Source organism: Homo sapiens, chromosome 11, assembly GCF_000001405.40.
Source record: "Homo sapiens chromosome 11, GRCh38.p14 Primary Assembly".
NCBI classification, from domain to species: Eukaryota; Metazoa; Chordata; class Mammalia; order Primates; family Hominidae; genus Homo; species Homo sapiens.
The window spans coordinates 47,935,494-47,956,085 of record NC_000011.10 but is presented as its reverse complement, the minus strand read 5'-3'; the positions used below and the strand labels follow the sequence as shown (position 1 = coordinate 47,956,085).

The 20,592-nt window shown below is 46.9% G+C and overlaps 6 annotated features.

Moving 5' to 3' along the window:
* Nucleotides 475–769: an enhancer, noted in NCBI's record as "tiled region #13015; HepG2 Activating non-DNase unmatched - State 24:Quies". NCBI's record gives its function as "activates a minimal TATA promoter and a strong SV40 promoter by Sharpr-MPRA in HepG2 cells {active_cell/tissue: HepG2}" and the evidence as "EXISTENCE:reporter gene assay evidence [ECO:0000049][PMID:27701403]".
* Nucleotides 641–730: an enhancer, noted in NCBI's record as "active region_4710". NCBI's record gives its function as "activates an Ori minimal core promoter by ATAC-STARR-seq in GM12878 lymphoblastoid cells {active_cell/tissue: GM12878}" and the evidence as "EXISTENCE:reporter gene assay evidence [ECO:0000049][PMID:35858748]".
* Nucleotides 8,370–9,569: an enhancer, noted in NCBI's record as "P300/CBP strongly-dependent group 1 enhancer chr11:47968069-47969268 (GRCh37/hg19 assembly coordinates)". NCBI's record gives its function as "activates an origin of replication core promoter dependent on BRD2, BRD4, P300/CBP, MED14 and CDK7 cofactors, with strong dependence on P300/CBP, by STARR-seq in HCT116 cells {active_cell/tissue: HCT116}" and the evidence as "EXISTENCE:reporter gene assay evidence [ECO:0000049][PMID:35650434]".
* Nucleotides 8,370–9,570: a biological region, named in NCBI's record as "P300/CBP strongly-dependent group 1 enhancer GRCh37_chr11:47968069-47969268".
* Nucleotides 9,405–9,570: a silencer, noted in NCBI's record as "fragment chr11:47968068-47968233 (GRCh37/hg19 assembly coordinates)". NCBI's record gives its function as "represses an EF-1alpha promoter that drives an FKBP-Casp9 reporter gene in an ReSE screen in phorbol 12-myristate 13-acetate-treated (for megakaryocytic differentiation) K562 erythroleukemia cells {active_cell/tissue: K562(+PMA)}" and the evidence as "EXISTENCE:reporter gene assay evidence [ECO:0000049][PMID:32094911]".
* Nucleotides 11,835–12,129: an enhancer, noted in NCBI's record as "tiled region #4641; HepG2 Activating non-DNase unmatched - State 10:DNaseD, and K562 Activating DNase matched - State 5:Enh". NCBI's record gives its function as "activates a minimal TATA promoter and a strong SV40 promoter by Sharpr-MPRA in HepG2 and K562 cells {active_cell/tissue: HepG2 | K562}" and the evidence as "EXISTENCE:reporter gene assay evidence [ECO:0000049][PMID:27701403]".

Here is a 20,592-nt window from a genome sequence, read left to right as displayed (position 1 = left end):
TTTTTACTTCTAAGTATTTTTTATCTATATCTCATCTACATCTATATCTACATGTATATCTATAGATATAAGTCCATTGTTCAAATGACTGTTCCCAAATGTCATGTACCCAGAAAAAGGACACATCCTAGCCAGACCCACTCAAGTGAAACCCAGGCTATTTGTGGGTACCAAATGCTGTAGTTTGGTCCTCCCCTATCCACTGGTAAGAGACGACTGATTATGGGTAAAATCCATGACCTTGGAGAAAACCAAAGGAAACCCTATATGTGGATCAGCCTCATAGGAAAAGGACTATAGATATGTAGTTTCTCTCTCCCTCCATCTTTCTTGTATAATTCAAAGAGGCAAATGGGTGTAATGAGAAGAACATAGGCAGATAAGACTTTAACTCTAGCTCCATGACTGTAAAGCTATATGACCTTGGGCAAGTCTTTCACCTCTTTGAGTTTCAGTTTCTTTATCTGTAAAGTGAGGACAATGCCCACTTGAAGTGTTATTGTGAGGGCAAAATGAATTAATTTATACAGAATGCCCATCACAGTCCTTTAATTCTCTATAAAGCTTAGAGCAGATATTGCTACCTGATTACCAAATCCATTTCCTTTTCTTCCTGGTGACCCAGCTAGACTACATTTCCCAGACTCCCTTGCAGATAGATGCTGCCCTGTGCTCAAGCTCTAGCAGTGAAATGTGAGCAAAAGTGTGCTTTGCAAGCTATTTCCAGGCTTAGCCCATAAAACCTTTTATGCTTATGGGCCCAGGGCAACCCTTCAAATGACCTGGTGAAACTGACAGAATCTCTGTGTCTGGATCCCTGAACGGCAACGTGGAGTACAGCTCTTGTTGTCAATAAGAGACATCTGATTTGGACTCTACATGAGCAAGAAACAAACCTTTATAGCATTAACTGATGAGGTTTTAGCTGTTACAGCAGTTAGAATTGCTTTAACCAACATAAAGTTCAATGTGACAGATGAAGTCACTACTAAAAAGGAAAACCTGCAGGGCGCGGTAGCTCACACCTGTAATCTCAGCACTTTGGGAGGCCCAGGCAGGCAGATCACTTGAGGTCAGGAGTTTGAAACCAGCCTGGCCAACATGGTGAAACACCGTCTCTACTAAAAATACAAAAATCAGCCGGTCATGGTAGCACACGTCTGTGGTCCCAGCTACCAGGGAGGCTGAGGTAGTAGAATCCTTTGAACCTGGGTGGCGGAGGTTGCAGTGAATAGAGATCATGCCACTGCACTCCAGCCTGTATGACAGAGCAAGACTCTGTCTCATAAATAAATAAATAGGAAAAACCTAATAGGTTTTATTTAAACCATGGTGGCTTTGGGAAAACCATATAGGGAACCATACAACTGTTAGGGGGGACATTCACATTTTAATATTAAATTTCATCAATTTGCAACACCTTTTTTTTCACATTTTTACACCGATGTGTAAATTGATGTGCAAGTGATGGCATCTCAAATTGTTGATGAATTGCTGACAGCCAGGTCATAGTCACTGCCCACACGTGCACAGGGCTGGTCACAACTCTTCCTCTTGCCAACCTTTCCCTTAAGCTGTGTGCACTGTTAGCACTATAGGTATTGAGTTTAATCACTACTTACAATGTCTTCAAAAACATTCCACACTGATTCAGCACTGAAATGAAAAATTATTATATACTAAAAAGGGTAAGGAAACAAGCAGCTTGATAGTCGATAAAAATCTATGTCTAAATAAGACTTAAAAGAGCTCTTTTAATATGCATAAAATGAAATTTTTAAGTGATGGGAAAGCTTTGTGTCACGGTTTTCCTATTTCTTAGAAACGCATCAGTAAGGGTGTAGGTTACAATTGATGGTGCCTTAGATTTGGTGAAATTGCCAATAATGTAGACATGTCAGTGATTTTAACCCAGGAAGGAATCCAGTGTAAATAATAATAACAAAAAAAATTCACATATATTGAGAGCCAAATATACACAAAATTCATGCTTTACTCACATCTTATTATTTATTCATCATAATAAGCCCATGAGATGGTTACTCTTTTTTTTTTTTTTTTTTTTGAGACACGGTCTTGCTCTGTCACCCAAACTGGAGGGCAGTGGCATGATCTCCGCTCACTGCAACCTCTGCCTCCCAGGTTCAAGAGATTCTCCTGCCTCAGCTGGAGTAGCTGGGATTACAGGCATGTGCCACCATGCTTGGGTAATTTTTGTATTTTTAGTAGAGACAGGGTTTCACCATTGGTCAGGCTGGTCTTGAACTCCTGACCTCGTGATCTGAGATTTGGGAGGCCTTGGCCTCCCAAAATGCTGGGATTACAGGTGTGAGCCATGGTGCCCAGCCCGATGTTTACTCTTATATATGATTGCAAATTGTCCTAAGTGCTACGAGAGTGAATAACAGGGAAGGAAAACATAATTAAGATTAGGAGGAGAGGCCTCCCTAAGGAAGTGACGAGACTCGAAAGTTAACAGTAGGCAGCATTTATTGAGCACTTACTATGGACCAGATACGATTCTAAGTTTATCATATTGACTCACTCAATCCTCCCCAAAACCCTAAGAAGTTTATTATCAGCTCCACTTTACACAAGGGAAAGTCAAGACAGGAGTAGAGAAGTTACATAACTTGCTCAAAATAACTCAGGTTACACATTACGGAAGATAAGCCTAGAATTGGAACCATGGCAGTCCAGCTCCAAAATCCGTGCATTTTACCACTTCACCATCATCTCTCAGTAGAGATAGATGAACAGTATCACATGAGTGAGGCATCCCCCCGCTTTATCAGTGGGAGTGTCAGTAAATGATCTGGCTACAAGCAAAGACTCCAGAGACCAACATTCAAAGTCAGGCTCTGCAACTGCTCAGCAAGGTATTTTAATCTTTCTATGCCTCGGTTTCCCCATTTGTTGTGATTAAATGAGGATTAATGAGTTGATACACATATAGAACTTAGCTCAGAACCAGAAGATAAATGTTAGGTGGTCTTATCATCTTCATACAATGCTCATCACAACCCAAAGGAAACAGACCCAGAGAGGTTTAGGAATTTGTCAAAAATCACATATTTCAAGAAAGGAATCAGGATTTGAACCTAAGTCTGTTCACCCAGAAGCCCTTTCTTTATGCATTACTCATGAAGCTTTCCATTAAAAATGAGTCAATGGAGCTGGGTGCAGTGGCTCATGCCTGCAATCCCAGCACTTTGGGAGGCCAAGATGAGAGGATCTCTTGAACCCAGGAGTTCGAGACCAGTCTGGGCAACTTGGTGAGACCGCCACCCCCCACCCCCCACCCCCCTGCCATCTCTATGAAAAAATAATTAATTAATTAATTTTAAAAGGAGTCAATGGTTTAGGTCTTCATTCCTAAAGATTTCCATTTAGAAAGGAGATCCTAAATCCCAATGTGACACCTCATTTTAACATCCCGAGTCTTAATCAACAGTAAGGCTCTCTCATTGCAAATCTAGTTTTCAATTGTTTTGAGGCCATTTTCTCTTTGAGAAGCCCAAGGGAAGAGAGAAACTCACCAGTTTCTTTCTTTTCTACCCTTCATATAAGGTATTTCACATTTCCCAACCTACGTTGAGAAGGCAGGGACATTTTAGAGTCAGGCACAAAGTAGGTGCTCAAGGCTGGGTGTGGTGGCTCTCACCTGTAATCCCAGCACTTTGGGAGGCTGAGGCGGGCAGATCACATGACATTAGGAGTTCAAGACCAGCCTGACCAACATGGAGAAACCCTGTCTCTACTCAAAATACAAAATTAGCCAGGAGTGGTGGCACATGCCTGTAATCTCAGCTACTCGGGAGGCTGAGGCAGGAGAATCACTTGAACCCAGGAGGCAGAGGTTGCAGTGAACTGAGATCACACCACTGCACTCCAGCCTGGGCAACAAGAGCAAAACTCCATCTCAAAAAAAAAAGAAAAAAAAAACATGCGCAACAAAAATGTGTTGCATGAATGAAGAAACAAGTGAGAAATCTCTAATGTACTTCACAGATCAGATGAACTCCACGCCGCTCTGCCCCTGCCTACTCTGCTTGCTTTTCTTTGTTTTTTTGCTTTTTGTTTTTTGTTTTTGAGACGGAGTTTCACTCTTGCTGCCCAGGCTGGAGTGCAGTGGCCCGATCTCGGCTCATTGCAACCTCCGTCTCCCAGGTTCAAGCGATTCTCCTGCCTCAGCCTCCCGAGTAGCTAGGATTACAGGCGCCCACCACCACGCCCAGCTAATTTTGTATTTTGAGTAGAGACAGGGTTTCTCCATGTTGGTCAGGCTGGTCTCGAACTCCCGACCTCAGGTGATCCATCGACCTCGGCCTCCCAAAGTGCTGGGATTACATGCGTGAGCCGCCGCACCCAGCCTGCTTGCTTTTCTTTGACTCCCATGTCTTAACCCCAGTGTTTCTCAAACAAGAGTGTTGCAATGGCATTCTGAGGACATTGTGGAGTTGAAGTGGCCTTGGTATGTGGTGACATCCTAGGTTTCTTCAATCCTCATTCCCTTGAGACACTTTTTGACCAAGAGGCTAGAGTAGAGTTATCTTCGGGGGCGGAACTGCTGAGGATGAGAATAGGCAGGGGGATGGACGCGCACCTGCAGCCCTCACACATTGTAACACTCGGTCAAAGTCACCAGGTGTCACAGGCAGAGGAAGGCTGAAGCCCTACTAGACATTCACTGTAAAGACAGGAAACCTGGCCGGGTGCGGTGGCTCACATCTGTAATCCCAACACTTTGGGAGACCAAGGTGGGCAGATCACTTGAGGTCAGAAGTTCAAGACCAGCCTGGCCAACATGGTGAAACCCCATCTCTACTAAATATACAAAAATTAGCTGGGCATGGTGGTGCATGCCTGTAATCCCAGCTACTCAGGAGGCTGAGGCAGGAGAATCCCTTGAACCCAGGAGGCAGAGGTTGTAGTGAGCCAAGATCATGCCATTGCACTCCATCCTGGGTGACAGCGTGAGACTCCATTTCAAAAAAAAAAAGACAGGAAACCTGAGCCTAGGGAGTATAGGTCAGACTCCTTTGGTTGCAAATAATGGAAATCCATCTCAAATAATCCTGAGGGAAAAAGGAAGGCATTGCATTGCTCACATCACTTGGAATTTCAGGGATGATGCTGGTTTTAGATATGGATGGATCTAGACATTCAAATAAGGCCTCAACTTTTCTCCCCCTCTGGCCTGTTGTTTTTCTCTCTGTGTTTGCCCGTAGCAGCCCCTCAGCAAGCAGGCTTTTAGCAAATGACTGCTGCTGACAACCCTCAGATCATACCCTTCCAGTTGCACAGAGTTCTAGCCCTTATGTTTAAGTTTGGGGCAGAGAGGCAGGGTGGTCCCAAGGGAGGAAGTAGGAAATGTTTCCTCTTGTCAAAAAATCAAAAGCTTTCTCAGAAGCCCCAGAGTAGACCTCCCCTTAGGTCTTATTGGTAAAGCTGCAAGGGGGGCTGGGGAAGTGGGAAACAGAGCGTCATTATTGGCTTAGGCATGTAAGAATCTACCACCCAGGGCTGGCCACGAAACTGAAACTGGTGTTTCTTTTTCTTTTTCCTTTTTTTTTTTTTTTTTGAGTCAGAGTCTTTCTCTGTCGCCTAGGGTGGAGTGCAGTGGCACCATCTCGGCTGACTGCAACCTCCACCTCCCGGGTTCAAGCAATTCTCCTGCCTCAGCCTCCCAAGTAGCTGGCACTACAGGTGCATGCCACCACACACGGCTAATTTTTTTGTATTTTTATTAAAGACAGGGTTTCACCATATTGGCCAGGCAGGTCTTGAACTCCTGACCTTGCGATCTGCCCGCCTTGGCCTCCTAAAGTGTTGGGATTACAGGCGTGAGTCACCGCGCCCGGCTTTTTTTTTTTTTTTTTTTTTTTTTTTTAAGACAGAGTTTCGCTTTTGTTGCCCAGGCTGAAGTGCAATGGTGTGATCTCGGCTCACTGTAACCTCTACCTTGTGGGTTCAAGCGATTCTCCTGTCTGAGCCTCCTGAGTAGCTGGGTTTACAGGCACCCACCACCACACCCAGTTAATTTTTTGTATTTTTAGTAGAGACGGGGTTTCACTATGTTGGCCAGGCTGGTCTCAAACTCCTGACCTCAGGCAATCCACCTGCCTTGGCCTCCCACAGTTCTGGGATTACAGGCATGAGCCACCACGTCCAGCCTCTTTTTCTTTCTTTCTTTCTTTCTTTCTTTTTTTTTTTGAGATGGGTCTTGCTCTGTCACCCAGGCTGGAGTGTAGTGGCACAATCTCAGCTTACTGCAGCCTCATCCGCCCAGGCTCAAGCAATCCTCCTACCTCAGCTTCCCAAGGAGCTGGGACTACAGGCGCGCACCACCACACCCAGCTAATTTTTGTATTTTTTGTAGAGATGGTGTATCACTACATTACCCAGCTGGTCTCAAACTCCTGAACTCAAGCAATCCTCCTGCCTTGGCCTCCCAGAGTGCTAGGATTATAGGCATGAGCCACTGTGCCCAGCAAAACTGGTATTTCCTGAGCCAGGAAGGAGGGAGACTGCATTGGGTAGGTCACTAATGGTGTCTACCACAAGAAAATATTGTGAGGCAACCTCACCAGATCTTGTTTTTGTTTTTGTTTTTTTGAGACTGAGTCTCGCTTTGTCGCCCAGACAGGAGTGCACTGGCCCGATCTCAGCTCACTGCAACATCCGCAGGTTGAATCATCCCAAGTTCAAGTGATTCTTCTGCCTCAGCCTCCCAAGTAGCTGGGATTACAGGCGCGCACCATCATGCCCGGCTAATTTTTTGTATTTTTAGTAGAGATGGGGTTTCACCATGCTGACCAGGCTGGTCTCAAACTCCTGAGCTCAAGTGATCCGTCCCCCTTGGCCTCCCAAAGTGCTAGGATTACAGGAGTAAGCCATGGCACCTGGCCACCAGATCTTGTAACAAGGATGAGGAGAAGTTTTACAGAAGTGGAAATGCTAGCTAGCCAGAAACAACTAATGTGCACATTAGAGTTGGGGAACAAGGAGTGAAAGTCAGGAAAAGTGAGTTGAATCAGGGTAGGTGGGCATGGCTCGAAAGGAGAGGATGGTCCAGCTGTGGAAAACACCTGTTGGAACATTTCCGGGAACATACATTTCTTATCTAGAGGATATTCCAGAGCAGGAGCACAACAAATACAGAAAATTCTGGGTGAGCAAGTGACAGGCTCCTCATCACACAAAGAGCCTGAGTTTTTTCTACTGTTTTTGTTCAATCCTCACTCTTTGTTCTCCAAGGTGGCGCTAAACCAAATGAACAAAGATGCAGCTCTGGCCAGGCTCGGTGGCTCACATCTGTAATCCCAGCACTTTGGGAGGCCAAGGCGGGCAGATCACCTGAGGTCAGGAGTTGGAGACCAGCCTGACCAACATGGTGAAACCCCGTTCTCTACTTAAAATACCAAAAATTAACCAGGTGTGGTGGTGAGCGCCTGTAACCTCATCTACTCCAGAGGCTGAGGTAGGAGAATTGCTTGAACCCGGGAGGTGGAGGTTGCAGTGAACCAAGATCGTGCCATCGCATTCCAGCCTGGGCAACAAGAGCAAAACTCCGTCTCAAAAAAAAGAAAAAGAAAAAAAGATGCAACTCAGAAGCACCAAGGAAAGACATGTTCAAAAGTCCTCAGTGGCTCCCTACCAGCCATGAACTCCAGTCCAAATTCTGACTCTGGCCCTACTGTCCTCTCCAGCCTTATCTCTCACTGTAACTCCTCCTCCACCCACTTACAGCAGCTCCTTGCAGCTCCCTAAATCCAGCCCAGACTTTCCTGACTCCAGGATTTTGTCCCTGCTGTCCTCTGTGCCCTTTCCTAGCTGTGATGTCTCTGTGCCTCCGTTTTCTTATCTATAAAATAGGAAGTTCCTCCAAGTTATTGTGAGGTTTACAAAAATGAAATAAAACATGTTACGTGCTTAGAATACTGCCTGGCACACTTTAAATACTCACTATATGTTAACTATTATTATTATTCATGAATCACTGGTTGTTTGTTTGTTTGTTTTCTGAGATGGAGTTTCACTCTTGTTGCCCAGCCTGGAGTGCAATGGAGCGATCTCGGCTCACTGCAACCTCCGCCTCCCAGGTTCAAGTGATTCTCCTGCCTCAGCCTCCCGAGTAGCTGGGATTACAGGCGCCCAACACCAAGTCTGGCTAATTTTTTGTATTTTTATTAGAGACAGGGTTTTATGATGTGGGCCAGGCTGGTCTCAAACTCCTGACCTCAGGTGATCCACCTGCCTCGGCCTCCCAAAGTGCTAGGATTACAGGTGTGAGCCACCGCTCCCAGCCTGTTTGTTGTTTTTAGAGACAGTCTCTCTCTGTCACCCAGGCTGGAGTGCAGTGGCACAATCAAAGCTCACTGCAGCATCTACCTCCGGGGCTCAAGTGATCCTCCTGCCTCAGCCTCCCAAGTAGCTGGGACTACAGGCACACACCACCATGCCTGGCTGACTCTTGGTTTGAAGTATTAACCAACTTGGTGCATGGCACTTGGCATCCACATCACAGTCCTTACCCATTTCTTCTTTGCTGTATCTGTGAATGTGTCTGGAGTGAGCATCACCAGGCCCAGGATAATGCGTGTGGCTCCCTTGGCATCTTGCTCAACTTTGTCTTGAGCGTGCCAAGCACACAGCTGTTTGACCTGAGATGGAAGCCAGCCAGCCTGTCAAGGGGCAGAACCTGTCCATCGAGGACACCTTGGAGAATGAAGTGCTAGGCTGGGCAGAAAGTTCCCTCTTGCTGGCTGAAGGGTCACATTAGGAAATGGAGCGCACCCACAATTTCACAACGAAGCTGTTAGGAAAGTCAGACAAATTCATCCACCGATGGTGTGCGGTTAAGACCTGGCGCCAGACATTTCCCCCAAAAAGGCAGGAACCTGCCACTGCGAAGAGATGAGGATTGAGCCTCCCTCCTGGGCCCAGGAGTAGTGACTCAGCAGGAAGCCAGCCAAGGCCTGAGTCACTCCCTCCCCTACAACCACACCCGGGGTTTTCCTTAAGGGCTTGGAAAGTTCACTGGGAGCTGGAGGTATAAATCTTTGGTACCTGGGTCTACCCAGGCTAATGAAATCATTTATTTAATGATTTAATAGCTTAGTGTTTAAGAGCACAAACTCTGCCTTCCTCAGCAGCTACCTCTGCCTCTTATGCAACCTGGAGCAAGTTTCTTATCATCTCTGGTCACAATTTGCCCATCTGTAAATGGGAACAATAATAGTATCTCCCTCCTAGGAGTGAGAAAACTTAGAATAGTATGTGGCATGTCCATGGGGTTCCTCTAACACACCTGGTCTCACTTTAAGGCCTTTGCATTTGTTGTTTTCTTTTCCCTCCCTTCTCTCTCTCTCTTTTTTTAAGGCACAATCTCACTTTGTCACCCAGGATAGAGTGCAGTGGTGCCATCTCGGCTCACTGCAACCTCTGCTTCCCAGGTTCAAGCAATTCTGCCTCAGCCTCCCAGTAGCTGGGATTACAGGCATACACCACCATGCCTGGCTAATTTTTGTATTTTTGGTAGAGACGGGGTTTCGCCATGTTGGCCAGGCTGGTCTCAAACTCCTGACCTCAGGTGATCCACCCACCTCGACCTCCCAAAGTTCTGGGCTGCAGGTGTGAGCCACCGCGCCTAGCCGCCACATTTGTTGTTTTCTATGCTTAGAATGCTTTTGCCTCAGACAGCCACATGGCCAGCTCTCGCACCTAATTCAGGTATTTACTAAATATTAATCTTCCCAGTGAAGCCTACAATGGCCAACCCTTCTAACTGCTCCTCCTCCAATACTCTTTAACCCCTTTCCCACTTTTCCTCCTTAGCACTTATCACCATCTAGCATGTATCTTCTCTATTGATCTCTCCCCAACCACAATGGATTTTAAGTTCCATTGTTGTCTGTTTTCTTCATTGCTGTATTCCCAAGACCTAGAAAAGTGCCAGCACATAGCAGTTCTCAATATACATATAGGGGGCCAGGCAGGGTGGCTCACTGCCTGTTATTCCAGCACTTTGGGGCTGAGGAGGGAAAATCGCTTCAGCTCAGGAGTTGAAGACCCACCTGGGCAACGTAGTGAGACCCTGTCTCTACAAAATAAAAAAATACAAAAATTAGCCAGGCGTAGGGGTGTCTGCCTATAGTCCCAGCTACTCGGGAGGCTGAGGCATGAGGATTGCTCGAGCTCAGGAGGTCGAGGCTACAGTAAGCCTTGATCATAATGACTATACTCCAGCCTAGGCCACAGAGCGAGAGACCCAGTCTCAAAAAAAAAAAAAAAAAAAAAAAAGACTGGGTTCAGTGGCTTACATCTTTAATCCTACCACTTCAGAAGACTAAGGCAGGAGAACCACTTGAGCTCAGGAGTTTGAGACCTGCCTGGGCAAGATAGTGAAAATCTGTCTCTACTAAAAAAAAAAAAGGCCGGGAGCAGTGGCTCACGCCTGTAATGCCAACACTTTGGGAGGCCGAGGCGGGCGGATCACCTGAGGTCAGGAGTTGGAGACCAGCCTGACCAACATGGTGAAACCCCGTCTCTACTAAAAATACAAAAATTAGTCGGGCGTGATGGCACATACCAGTAGTCCCAGCTATTCAGGAGGCTGAAGCAGGAGAATCACTTGAACTCAGGAGGTAGAGGTTGCCGTGAGCTAAAATTGTGCCACTGCACTCCAGCCTGGGTGGGCAACAAAGCAAGACTCCGTCTCCAAAAATGAAAAACTTAAAAAAAAAAACCCTCAGCCTGGCCAACATGGTGAAACCCTGTCTCTACCAAACAATCCAAAAATTAGCCAGGTGTGGTGGCATGCGCCTATAGTCCCAGCTACTTGGGAGGCCGAGGCAAGAGAATTGCTTGAACCCAGGAGGCAGAGGTTGCAGTGAGCCAAGACTGCGCCACTGCACTCCAGCCTGACCGACAGAGTAAGACTCTGTCTCACAAAAAAAAAAAATTAGTCAAGTATGGTTGCACACGCTTGTAGTTCCTGCTATCCTGCTATTCGGGAGTCCGAGGTGGGAGAATCACTTGAGCCCCAGCAAAACAAAACAACCAACCAACTATATGTGTGTGTGTGTTTGTGTGTGTGTGTGTGTACATACACCTATGTGGAATGAATGGAAATGAATGTCAACTTATTCACCATTTTTTTTTAGGCAGATGGCCAATAAATACTGTATGTGAATCAACAGACAGTGGTGAGAACCAAGGAAGTTTTCAACCCCCACCTAAAGGCATTTAAATTCAAATTTAAAAGAGAACTTAATTTAGATTCAAAAGATAACCAGCCAACCACCTCTCTAGGCTGCATTCCCTGGTTCCAGTCTGTAACTGTAAATTTCTCTTATCTCCCACTTGATCTTTCTGATTTTAAAATATCCAAATATTAATATGATTCAGAGCCCTTTATTCTTCTGAAAATGTTTTTCCTCCATGAGGGCACTACCATGACATCAAGACCCCAGGTGGCTTCACAGGTTCAACAGTCAGTTCCAATCCTTACTAGCTGCTCTATTCTGGGCTAATGTGCTGCCCTTTTAATTCCTCCAAGATTCAGCTGGGGGTAACTCACCAGTGCCTTCCCAAAGCCTAGCAGAGCTCCTGACACAAGGGAATGAGTGAGGGAGTGAATGAAAACGTGATGGCTCAGAGGAGGCAGTCACAAGGGCCCACGGTATCTTCTTAGTCTCCATTATTGAATCTTAGTCTCCATTATTTAATCTCCAGTAACCTCCTAGGGAGGAACCACTGTCCAGTTGGAATCTCCCTCCAGGAATACTATTTCTCCCTGACTCCCCAAGGGTGAAGGTCTGCTAAAAAGACACCCAATTCACATCACTAAAAAGAACTCCTAGCGCAGTCCGCTGCAACTGCGAGATTGGGGTGACCCCACCCTCGTCCTCAAAGACAATGGGCGGGGATTTGCCCTGAGTTCTCAGAAAGGCCCTCCTGGTGACTTTTCCAAACAAAGCCAGGCAGCTCCAAAAGTAGGGAGGCTTCAGTCCTAGACACGGAAATCGCCGGGACTCCTCCCACCCTCCCCACCTCCGCCACGTGGCATTTTCTCATTAAAAGAGAAGGAATTAAGTCCCCGTGTCACACCCCGCCCCCCCCCCCACACACACACATAGATGGAGAAATGGAGCCTACATGGCTTTAAATTAGAATTTTCACCAGCTGTGTGGCCTTGGAGTTCTCTGAGCCTGTGTCTTTTCAGCTGTGAAAAAGCAAGAATAATGGAGTGACCTAATTGGTTGCTGGGAAAACTAAATGCAAACCACGCCTTCTCCTGACTTGGCCCACCCCCACCCTTAGCCTGTCCCCCTCCCTCTCTCTGTCTTCCCCCCACCCCCTCCCACCTATAATAATTGCCATTATTAGCCGAGCGGGTGGCTCACGCCTGTAAGCCCAGCACTTTGGGAGGCCGAGGCGGGTGGATCACCTGAGGTCGGGAGTTCGAGACCAGCCTGACCAACATGGAGAAACCCCGTCTCTACTAAAAATATAAAATTAGCCGGGCATGGTGGCGCATGCCTGTAATCCCAGCTACTCGGGAGGCTGAGGCAGGAGAATCGCTTGAACCCGGGAGGCGGAGGTTGCAGTGAGTGGAGATCACGCCATTGCACTCCAGCCTGGGCAACGATAGCGAAACTCCGACTCTAAAAGAAAATAGTAATACTAATAATAATTGCCATTATTATTGTTATTAGGGTTACTCCAGTGAATGTGAAACCAAGACAGCCAGCCCCACGCCAGCTCTCAGTACCCACCGCCACCCTGCCTCTTAAAGCAAAGAACTTGGAAAAGCAAATTCACTGTAACAGATGCGTGTCTGTGCAGCTTCACTGAGATTTCAGCAGACCCCGTGTGTGTGTGTGTGTGTGTGTGTGTGTGTGTGTGTGTGTGTGTGTGTGTTAAACAGGTCTCACTGTGTTGTCCAGGCTGGAGTACAGTGACGTGATCTCAACTCACTGCAACCTCCGCCTCCCAGGTTCAAGTGAGTCTCCTGCCTCAGCCTCCCAAGTAGCTGGGATTACAGGTGCCCGCCACCACGACTGGCTAATTTTTGTATTTTTAGTAGAGACAGGGTTTCACCATGTTGGCCCAGGCTGGTCTCAAATTCCTGAACTCAAGTGATCCGCCCGTCTCAGCCTCTCAAAATGCTGGGATTACAGGCTTGAGCCACCGCGTTCGGCCATAATTATCCTTTTTTAAAAAAGTAATTTTGTTTTGTTGAGCCCAGATCTTTCTCTATCACCCAGGCTGGAGTGCAGTGGCATGATCACGGCTCACTGCAGCCTCAATCTTCCCAGCTCAAGTGACCTCAGCCTACAGGTGTGCTCGCGCCATCACACTCAGCTAATTTTTTTCTTTTTTGTGGAGATGAAGTGTCACTATGTTGCCCAGGCTGGTCTCAAACTCCTGGGCTCAAGCAATTTTCCCTCCTCAGCCTCCCAAAGTGCTGGGATTACAGGCATGAACCACCTTGCCTGGCCATAATCATCATTTTTATAGAAACCTTACATGATCACAGCTCATTGACGAAGGAGTGAATATTTTTAGGCAATTTCTGCCAGAAACAACGGTGTGAAGACATCACAGGAATCACCTGACAGTCCTGCAACCTTGAACACATCACTCATCCTTCTGCTGACCCCAGTGGTAGGTTTCACAATCTGTTTGCTCCTCTGTCCCTCCCACTAACTAACCTGCCAGCACCAAGGGCTGAGATGAGTTTTGCTCCTGCATGCAGTTCCTGATCCTCGGTGTCTAGCACCCAACGGTGCTGAATAAATACCGCTTGGCTGTAAGTGTGAACAAAGGCCATCTAGAGAGGTTTTCTCTTGCCTCTCCATCCCTCCCCATCTGGGGATGGGGAGGAGTAGGGCAGAGCTTCCCACTTTCTTCTTGTTCCCCTCCTGCCCATGGGGTCTTGAGAACTGGGCATCTGGCCCTCTGTAGCCTGACAGTTCTTCCTCTTTCTCTTTGTCATTGACAATACAGTCTTTGACCACTAAACATGAAGTGGCTCCGAGGGTAGTGAATCTAGGACAGAGGGATCTGGAGGTCCAGAGGCTGCTTTAGAATACAAGCTTTGCTGCTAACCTGCTGTGCGATCTCAGGCAAGCAACCACATCTCTAACCTGCAAAGACAGAAAACCAACATTCATTGTATGCTTATAAGGTGTTTAGGCAGGCATTCACACGTTATCTCATTTGCATTGTGAAATGAAGGAGTTGGACTATACAATTTCTAAATTGCCTTTTGGGAAAGGTTTCAGTAGTGGCTTTCAAGCCACTCCTGCTCTCCATCTGCGGAAGAGGCTGTGATGCCACAGAGAGAGTACAGGATATGGTGCCAGGCCAACTGGCCCGGCATTTGAATCTCTGATCTATCTTTGACCAGCTGTGCCGACGTGGGGCAAGTCACATGCGCACACTGAGCCTCAGTTACCTCATCTCCAAAATGGGGACAAAAATACCCCCTTGCAGGGCTGCCTGGAGGATAAAATGGGACGGTGTATGGAGGAGGCCAGCACTGCACTTGGCATATAGTAGGAATGGACCAATGTCAGTCCCTGCCCTTTCCCAAAGAAGACTTGAAGATGAGTCGTAGTGCAAATTATTTCTGCTACCCCCTGAAGTCTTTAGCTTGGGTTTGGTTTTCAAGAAGGAAGCAGAAAGTTAACATCTGATGGTCTAGAAGAGTGCTGATAGGGAAGATTTCATTTCTGTAGCCTCTGCTCCAAGCCAGTGTCGACGGTCATCACCCCGAATCCTAGCAAAGTCAGTCTTCCCTCAGGACTCTGCTACCCAAGAACAAGTATAGTTCTTTAAAAAGTGTCCCCCTTCACTGTGCTAAGGTGCAGCCCAGAATCTGCGTCACTTTTTCTGAGAGTCCCTCCTGGATCCCCCTATTTACAATTCCAGTCCCTCCCCTGCCTCTGGCAAGTCCCTGCTCCTCTTTCCTGCTTGATTTTTCTCCATAGCACCTATCATCACAGAACACAAACACAGACACAGACACAGACACACACACACACATTTCACTAGCATGAAAGCACTGTTAGGATAGGGCTTGTGAATGCTGGATTCACTGTAGCATTTCCAGTGCTGAGAACAAGACCTGCATTCGTAGGCACTAAAATTTGTTGAAAGAATGAATCAGGCCGGGCGCAGTGGCTCACGCCTGTAATCCCAGCACTTTGGGAGGCCGAGGCGGGCGGATCACCTGAGGTTGGGAGTTCGAGACCAGCCTGATCAACATGGAGAAACCCCATCTCTACTAAAAATACAAAAATTAGCCGGGCGTGGTGGCACATGCCTGTAGTCCCAGCTATTCGGGAGGCCGAGGCAGGAGAATCGCTTGAACCTGGGAGGTGGAGGTTGTGGTGAGCGGAGATTGGGCAATTGCGCTCCAGCCTGGGCAACAAGAGCGAAACTCCGTCTCAAAAAAAAAAGAAAAGAAAAGAATGAATCTGGGCCTGAGCTAAAGCCAAGCTCGCAGCTATGGCCAAATAATAATAAAATATCAAGTGAGCCCCTCATTTTATGGTTTTGATTGAGATGAGGTGTCATAATATTTATAAAGGCCTCTCATAATATTTATTTGATCCTGCTGGGTGGGATGGCAGGTAATCTAGCTACTTGGGAGGCTGAGGCAGATGGAGCACTTGAGCCCAGGAGTTCGAGGCTGCAGTGAGCTATAATCACATGACTGCACTCCAACCTGGGTGACAGAGCAAGACCCTGTGTCTAAAAAAAAAAATTAAAATAAAATAATAATATTAATTTAGCCCTGTGCAGAAGGATTTGACTCTGTATTTTCGAAATGAAGAAACCTAACTCAGAGAGAAGAAATATCTCTGGAAAACAGAAGAAACACTTTTGGCCTCTTGACCTTGGGCAAGTCACTTCCCTTCTCTAATCTCATTTTTCCTTATCTGTAAAATGAAAAGACTTGGACTGGGTCTCTTCTGGAGCTAAGACTTTAAATTCTTAAATCCTATGACCTGATTGTTAACCCCCCTTTTTTTTTTTTTGAGACAAATGATCGCTCTGTCACCCAGGCTGGAGTGCAGTGGCGCCATCTCAGCTCACTACAACCTCCGCCTCCTGGATTCAAGCAATTCTCCTGCCTTAGCCTCCTGAGTAGCTGGGACTATAAGAGTGTGCCACCAAGCCTGGCCAATTTTTGTATTTTTTGTACAGACAGGGTTTCACCATGTTGGCCAGGCTGGTCTCGAACTCCTGACCTCAAATGATCTGTCCCGCCTTGACCTCCCAAAGTGCTGGGATTATAGGCATGAGTCACCACGCCCAGCCTGTTAACCTTTTAAAGACTGACTCAAATGATATTACCCACAAACCGTAATTTCAGAATAAGGACAAGCTGATACCTTGGTACCACCCCATCTCATTTCAATTCAGACCCCACCACCACTGGGACACATTCCAGCTGGTCTACTCAGACACTCAAACACTCAAACAAAAACACACAGTAAGTTCTGTGCAAGCAAGAGTCGTTATCATTATTGTTGTTATATGGTCAAAGCAGGCAATTTATTTAGTTTAAAAATAAATCATTCTTCACTTGCCTGGATTTTTTTTTTTTTTTTTTTTTTTTTGAGACAGGGTTTCACTCTGTCACCCAGGCTGGAGTGCAATAGCATGATCTCAGCTCACTGCAACCTCCGCTTCCCAGGCTCAAGTGATCCCCCAACTTCAGCCACCCGAGTAGCTGGGACAACAGGCATGCCACCATGCCCAACTAATTTTTGTATTTTTTTGTAGAGATGGGGTTTTCTCATGTTGCCCATGCTGGTCTCAAACTCCTGGCCTCGAGCAGTCCTCCTGCCTCAGCCTCCCAAAGTGCTGGGATTACAGACATGAGCCACCACACCCGGCCTATGGATTTCCAGTAGTCTCCTAACTCTCCTAACTGCCTACCCCTAGGCACTCCTCTAATCCATCCTACACACTAGTATTAAGCAAACCTTGCTTTCAGGAAATCAACAACTTTCAGCAGCTCTCTACTGCCCACAGAAAACAGTTAGAGGCTTTCAGCTACCATCTGAGGCCCACCTCACCTCAATCTCGCCCTAATCCTTTCAAATATGTCTCCCTGACCCACTCACTTCTTTGTTTCACCAGAACTCTTTGTTCCAATCAATTCAGCCCATCCCTCCATTCACTCAATAACTGTTTATTATATCCCTACTTTTTTTTTTTGAGACGGAATCTCACTGTGCCTCCCAGGCTGGAGTGCAATGGTGTACTCTGGCTCACTGCAGCCTCCGCATCCCAGGTTCAAGTGATTCTCCTGCCTCAGCCTCCCAAGTAGCTGGGATTACAGGCATGTGCCACAACGCTTGGCTAATTTTTGTATTTTTAGTAGAGACGGGGTTTCACCATGTTGGCCAGGCTGGTCTTGAACTCCTGACCTCAGGTGACCCACCCACCTTATAAGCCTCCCAAAGTGCTGGGATTACAGATGTGAGCCACCACACCCGGCCTACATCCCTACTATTGCCAAACACTCATAGCTGTAGGCACTGGTGTGATGAACAAGAGAAATTTCTATCCTCATGCAGTTTACATTCTAGAGGGAAAAATGGACAATAAACAAGCAAACACAGGAGTACGATTATTGCAGACAGTGATGAGGGCCAGGCTGTGATAGCAGGAGCACACACAACGTCATGAATCAGGGTGCAGTGACAGAAAGGCACTGGGGCTGCGCTGGACCTAGTGGTCAGGAAGTCTTCTCTGTGGGCACACATTTAAGGAAGACCTGAGTAGGAAGGGGACAGCCATGCAGAGACCTGGAAGCAGAGTGTTCCAGACAAAAGAAAAAGCAAATGCAAAGGCCCCTGAAAACAAGCTTCTCATGTCCTCGGGGTGAATTGAAGGAAGTAACGAGGGCAAGGGAGATTGGTAGGAGATAAGGTCAGGAAGGTGGGCAGGGGCCAGCTCAAACAGCCTGGCCAGGAGCTTTGATTCTATTCCAAGTGCAGCAGGAAGCTGATAAAAGATGATCACACAGGCCGGGCATGGTGGCTCACGCCTGTAATCCTAGCACTTTGGGAGGCTGAGGTGGGCAGATTGCTTGAGCCCAGGAGTTTGAGACCAGCCTGGGCAATATATGGAAATCCCATTTCTACAAAAAAATTTAAAAATTAGCTGGGCGTGGTGGCATGCTTCTGTAGTCCCAGCTACTCGGGAAGCTAGAGCGGAAGAATCACTTGAGCCCAGGAGGTCGAGCCTGCAGAGAGCCGAGATTGCGCCACTGCACTCCAGCCTGGGTGACAGAGTGAGACTCTGTCTCAAAAAAAAAAAAAAAAAGAGGTCATGGCACAGTGGCTCATTCCTGTAATTCCAGCATTTTGGGAGGCCAAGGCAGGCAGATCACTTGAGCCCAAGAGTTTGAGATCAGCCTGGGCAACACAGCAAAACCCCGCCTCTACACAAATACAAAAATTAGCCAGGCATGGTGACATGTGCCTGTAGTACAGCTATTTGAGAGGCTGAGGCAGGAGGATCACTTGATCCTGGAAGGTCAAGGCTGCAGTGAGCTGTGATCACACCACTATACTCCAGCCTGGGTGACAGAGTGAGACCCTGTCCCCCCAAAATTTTTTTTTTAAGTAAAAAGATGTTCACAGAAGAGTGAAATGATCTATGTTTTAAAAGATGATTCTAGCTATTGTGTGGAGAATGAACTATGAAAAGTGTAAAAGAAGTAAGGAGACCAGGCCGGGCGCAGTAGCTCATGCCTGTAATCCCAGCACTTTGGGAGGCTGAGGCGGGTGGATCACTTGAGGTCAGAAGTTTGAGACCAGCCTGGCCAACATGGTGAAACCCCGTCTCTACTAAAAATCCAAAAAAAAAAAAAAAAAGTAGCCGGGCATGGTGGCGGGTGCCTGTAATCCCAGCTACTCAGGAGGCTGAGGCAGGAGAATCGCTTGAATCCCGGAGGCAGAGGTTGCAGAGCCAAGATCTCGCCACTGCACTCCAGCTTGGGCTATAGAGTGAGAGCCTGTCTCAAAAAAAAAAAAAAAAGAAAGAAAGAAAAGAAGTAAGAAGACCAGGTGAGGGGTGATGTGGCCTGAAGGCAGGTGGCAGTGCAGATGGAGAGAAGTGGAGGAATCACGGACGTTTCTGGAAGTAGAGCTAACAAGACCAGCTGGTGGATTCTTTAGAGGAGACACAGGGTAGTGGGGATAGGAGGAGTCAACATTTTAGGCTCATGGCCCTCCTTAACAAGAGTGGATGCTTTTCCTCCCCTCTTTATTTTCTCTTCATATCCTCTCTCTACTCTGCTTTCTTTTCATCTCTAAACCTATCCATTTTTCTTTTCTTCTTCTTCTTCTTTTTTTTTTTTTTTTTTTTTGAGGCCGAGTCTCACTCTGTTGCCTAGGTTGGAGTGCAGTGGCGAGATCTCAGCTCACTGCAACCTCCACCTCCCAGGTTCAAGCAATTCTCCTGCCTCAGCCTCCCGAGTAGCTGGGACTACAGGCACTCACTACCACACCCGGCTAATTTTTTTTTTTTTGTATTTTTAGTAGAGACATGGTTTCACCATATTGGTCAGGCTGACCTTGAACTCCTGAACTCAGGTGATCCACCCACCTCAGCCTCCCAAAGTGCTGAATTACAAGCATATGCCTGGCCTTTTCTTTCTTTAAAAAAAAAAAATAGAAAAACGGGTCTCGCTATGTTGCCCAGGCTGGTCTTCAACTCCAAGGCTCAAACAATCTTCCCACCTCGGCCTCCTAAAGTGCTGGGATTACAAGTATGAACCACCACTCCTGGCCTCCATTTTCACAGAAGACTCACACCCCCCTCCCCCATTTGGGGGCACCTTCCTTTTCTGTTCTTTTCAGTCCTAAGAATCTTCCTTCACTGAATCTCTGGCTCCTGCTGGGTATATATCCAACAGTACATATTGGATGGATTTCTCTTTTGATGGCTGTGTTGTGGCTCCCCTACTAGGGATCAATTCTTTAAGGGTAGGTGGGACAGAATGGCATGTTAGCTATGGGCACTGTCAGAATCTCATTTTTTAGTGCTGTCAGACAAGTGGCTGACTTATCTGAGCCTCAACTTGAGCTAAAAAAAAAAAAACGGGGAGGGATTGTATAATTACGTAGATAATGTATATAAAGTGCTTAGGACTGTGCCTGGCACATTAGTAAGACTTCAAGGAATGATAGCTGTGGCTATTACAGTTGTCCCTCACTATCTGTGAGGGATTGGTTCCAGGAATGCGCCCCAACCCATATCAAAATCCATGGATGCTCAAGTCCCTGAAATGGTGTCATATTTGCATATAACCTACACACAGCCTCTCAAATACTTTAAATCATCTCTAGATTACTTTTTTTTTTTTTTGAGACGGAGTCTCGCACTGTCACCCAGACTGGAGTGCAGCAGCGCGATCTCGGCTCACTGCAACCTACACCTCCTAGGTTCAAGCGATTCTCCTGCCTCAGCCTCCCTAGTAGCTGGGAGTACAGGCGTGTGCCACCATAGCCAGCTAATTTTTGTATTTTTAGTAGAGACGGGGTTTCACAATGT